This window comes from Homo sapiens, chromosome 1, assembly GCF_000001405.40.
Source record: "Homo sapiens chromosome 1, GRCh38.p14 Primary Assembly".
Classification (NCBI taxonomy): domain Eukaryota; kingdom Metazoa; phylum Chordata; class Mammalia; order Primates; family Hominidae; genus Homo; species Homo sapiens.
Window position 1 is genome coordinate 248,323,630 of NC_000001.11, and position 4,843 is coordinate 248,328,472.

The 4,843-nt window shown below is 36.7% G+C and overlaps 1 protein-coding gene across 1 annotated transcript; it reads right to left on the reverse strand.

Annotated features, from left to right (window-relative positions):
- Window positions 1-939, reverse strand: OR2M7 (olfactory receptor family 2 subfamily M member 7). The gene has a single exon (NM_001004691.1). It carries the CDS (start codon window positions 937-939, stop codon window positions 1-3), a length of 939 nt encoding a protein of 312 aa, NP_001004691.1.
- Window positions 940-4,843: the final 3,904 nt, after the last annotated feature.

Consider the following 4,843-nt stretch of genomic DNA (forward strand, 5'->3'; position numbering starts at 1 on the left):
TCAATCTCCAGACTTGCCCTTTCCTAAGATTTTCATTAATGCTCTGGTCACTTCCTTGTTGCGGAGGCTATAAATGAGAGGATTCAGCATGGGAGTGACGATGGTGTAGAATACAGACACCATCTTGTCCTGCATAGGAGAATGATGAGATGTGGGCTGAATGCACATGAACAAACCTGCTCCATAGTACATTCCCACCACCATGAGGTGAGAGGAACAAGTAGTAAAAGCTTTGCGACGTCCCTCTCCAGATCCCATGTGAATGACAGCCAGAATAACTCGAGCATAGGAAGTGATGATGATTGCAACAGGGAAAACAAGCATTACTATACAGCAGATGAAAATAACCTCTTCAAATATTGATGTGTCATTGCATGAGAGGATTAGTAGGGAAGGGAAGTCACAGCAGAAGTGGGCTATTTCCCGAGACCCACAGTAGGAGAAGGAAAATGTCGCTACAGCATCAATGATTCCATCTGTAGAGCCCAGGATCCAGGAGAAGGCAGTCATAAGTCCACAAATTTTGGGTCTCATGAGATTGGTGTATCTTAGAGGGTGGCAAATGGCAGTGTAGCGGTCATAAGACATAACAGCCAACAGAAAGCATTCGGAGCCAAGCAATGATATATAGAAGAAAATTTGTGTGGCACAGCCAGCCATAGAAATGGACTTGCTGCCAGACAAGTAGTTGAAGGCCATCTTGGGTACAGTGGTGCAGATGAGCATGAGGTCCATGAGGGACAGTTGGCTGAGGAGGAAGTACATGGGGGTGTGGAGCTGGGTATCCAGGTAGATGAGGAGAACCATGATGGAGTTTCCCATGAAGGCCACTGAAAAGATGGCCAGGACCAGAAAGAAGAGGAAGGTGTGGGTGGGGCTATGATTGAAGATTCCCAGGAGGAGGAAGTCAGAGTTGAAGGTCTGATTCTCCCATGCCATGATGAATATGCCTGTTACCTAGCACCGCAAAAACAGTTCATTAATTTGATAAACATTTACCCAGTGCCTTATAAAGCATGTGATTATGGTAAATTCTGTAGTTTGGTGATCAATACAGGATGGCCAGAATTATAAAACTCAAAGTTTAAGAATTATGGAATCATAAAGAAATATGTTCTCTCAGCAGTGTCTCACTTATAAAATTATGGAGCTTGTCCTAACTTTTCTTCTAAGCATTCTTTTTCTCCATTGAAAAATTACAATAACAATATCTACTACATGATCAATGGAGTTTTTCCAAAAAGAATATGTCTCCAAAGCAAACAGTTCCTAAAACATCAGAAGCCTGTTACAGGTAAATTGATAGAGAAATTCAGGTTCAGTCACCATGTGACCAACACAATACTAGAAATGGACAATAAATTTGTGCCTTTATTCACATGATAGTAGGCATTTTTCCTACCAGAGTTAAGAAAATGTGTATGTTTACCTATTACTTTACAGTTTAAAGTATTTTATCTATACTTTATAGTAAGTTTTCTATACAGTAAGTGGATTCACTGAAAAGATTTTCAATTATACAAATCTAAGACATATGCTCTTTTTTCTATAGCCCAGTGTGATGCATTGAATTATGTTTCTTCCCCAAAAGATAGCAAGTGAGCTTGTTTAGAAATACATAAAGGGTATAATTAGTTAAGGTGAGGTCAAGTTGGAGCAGAGTGGGTCTCTCTAATTCAATATGACTCATGTTCTGATAAGTGGGTGGCCATGTGAAGACTGAGACACTGAGGATACCATGTGATAGGGGAGGCAGGGATTGGAGTGGTGCATCTACAAATCAAGAAATGCCAAAAACTGTTAGTTATAACAGGAACCTGGGAGAGAGGAATGGGACAGATTCATCCTCTTAGAGCCCTCAGAAGTGTCCAACCCTGCTGACAACTTGATTTCAGATTTCTAGACTCCAAAACTATGAGAGAATAAATTTCTATTGTTTTAGGTAACCTGTTTGTGATTTCTCTGTACTGGCATTCGTAGGAAATTAATACATCCAATATATCCTATAGAAAATAAGTAGATATAAAAACAGAAATTAAGAAAAGCATGAGATTCATCCTTTCAACAACATTTATGAAGCCTGGCTATGTGTTGATCACTGGGGCTACCACAGTGACCAGAATAAAGAAAGCCCGTGTCCATACAGGTCATAGTGAGTGTGATCAGATGATGATTATAAAACACTTTATGTCATAAGAGGATAAACATTTTGGAGAAAAGTAAGTCAAAGAAGGGTGTTAGAAATGCACTAGTATGTTCACCTTTGAATAAAGTAGTCAAGGGAAACCTCACACATCTAATGGCTTTTGGCAAAGACTCTGAGCAAGTGAGAAAGACACCAGATCACAGGAAAGGGTTGTACGTATATAAATTCCACAAAATGAAATGCAATAAATAGAACATACACAGAGAAAATAGAAATGTGTGGAAGATTTTGGGAAAACATAGGGTTTTCTAATTTAGAGTTATGTTTCTTGTATGTTGTGGCATTAAGTTTTTATTGTGTGAGATAATAATAAATGTATGAGCAAAGCCAATATGTGAAGGGAGATTATTCCAGGCAGTAAAAAATGATGTCATAAACAGAAAGACAAGCCTGGTGAGTAGACTCACTTGACAGAAATGTACTTTTTTCATTTATTCATGCATCACATTTTAATGAAGAGACTGAAAACAACAACATCAATGAAAGGTGAAAAATCTAGGAGCAGCAAGGAAGTTAGAAGAAATCTGCAGAAGAGAAGGAATCTGGAATTTGTCCTCATGGGTTGAAATACAATTTTTTCAATAGGGAGGTAGTAAAGTATACCTTTTTGAGTTTTATTTATTTATATTAATTGTGAATAATATTGGTAAGAAAGAAAAAAAATACTCGAGCAGAGTTTTAAGTTTTCATTCAAGAACAACCTAACAAAACATGCCTCTTCAGTGCAGGGAAGACAGAGAAGGAATCTCCATAAGAGACTCTCATGAGATTAGAATGGCAATCTCTAAAATAAAAACAAATCATTTTTGTCAATCAGCATGAAGAGAGAAACAGGCTTCAACCTCCTCCCTTTCTGGTTTTAAAACAAATGGTTATCAAGAAGTTGGATAAACCTGATCAGTGGTAGCTCAGATCCAGGTCCAGTCAATGTCTTGAGAATGAGAAATGGGCATCTCTGGGATCTTCAGTGTTGGGGGTTTCCTACCAAAGGGTTCCCTTGTGTTGTCCTCAAGAGGAGGTGGGCTTTTAAGGTCAATCAGGGGAAAAGACGTTGTATTGCCTCAATAATTTCCAGTGCTTATGAGCTGAATTCGCTTCAAGAAAATAACTCATCTCAACTTACTTTATGGAACCACCTATTTCGACCATCATACTGTAGCTGTCCCAGTTTTCTTGATCTTGTCAACTGTTACAATACACAATTTATCCAAACTAAACTGTATTACCTCAAATTTCCACCATAATTTTTCTTTAACTCAGTCTGAAATATTACTCCAAGAAGGAAGCTATGTGGTCAAGTTCGCTTCTCCCTATGCTTCTTTTTCAGTTGGCAAAGTGTTCTTTACATTTGGGAAACACTACTTCCAAGTCACTAAGTTGAGATAAAATGGTGATTAATTCTACTTGATCACTTAGACATTTCTACCATATGTTTTACATTCCATTGAATGATGCAGCATTAAAACAAAATTGATTACAAATGTAAGTCTACATATCCCTCTGAATTGTATCAGTCACATTAGTTTAGGCTGAACTTATATAAATGCACTCTTATTTGTCTCGTATTTTTCACCTCCTTTCATTGCCTCAAAATTCTCTTCATACCCACGTGCTAAAATTGCCTTCCTTGATTTTGTGCTGTCACAGAGAATGTGGCAAGATATATCACAAATTTATAACAGTTTATAAGTGATAAAATTGAAAATATTGAGCACTAGATTGCCCTATGCCTTCTATATTAAGATCCATATGAACATTCATTCAATAAAATTCTATAAAGAAAAATAATATTGTTTCTAATGAAAATTTGACATTTCTTCTAAGTTAGTAAGATACATATGACAGATTGTGCTTACCTTTAGGCACCAGGAATATGAGACCCAATCCTGAAGCTCAGTGTAAGTTATCCAGGATATAAACAATCTGAAAATGCAGTGAAGATAACATTGGGATTCCAAGAGGTATTTGTATATATTCCTATAAAAATGGATCTGTGGTGAAATATATTTGCAACTCCAAGTTATCCAGGACTCTTCACTGCCAAAAAAAAAAAAAAAGCAGAACATTTAGAGCTTCAGCTCTGTACTAGGAGGAACATAAAAAGCAGCTTTTTCAGAATGGCTCTGAAATTATGACATCTTGTTTTTTATTTTTTTAGAATACCTATTGATATTTCAAAGGTATTCACATAATGAGGTACAACATTTTGAACTCTGCATTAGACATTGCCTACCAAGTATTTTTCCCTTAGTTGTAATTTTATGCTTCTAATTTTATTTATTTTATCTAATCTACATTGTTTCTGTTGTAATAAACTCCATCATTTTGTAAAAAGATGGTGCATAGATTCAGTATTTTTAAATGTCTTTTTCATATATTAACCTCATCACATCTGGAAGAGGAGTCATCAGATTTCATTACACTGTGATACTGTGCACATGCCCAGAGCAATATATTGTAACACAAAATCCATGAAAATCATGGTCAGATTTTATGACACTGTGATAACTGTGCACAGGCCAGAGCAATAGTAACAAAGAAACCATGAAAATCTAGGTGAGAAATTGAGAAGGCACTGAGTGAGATGATGGAAAAGAGGCATCAAGAGGCCAGAATTTGACCAAAAAAAAAAAAAAA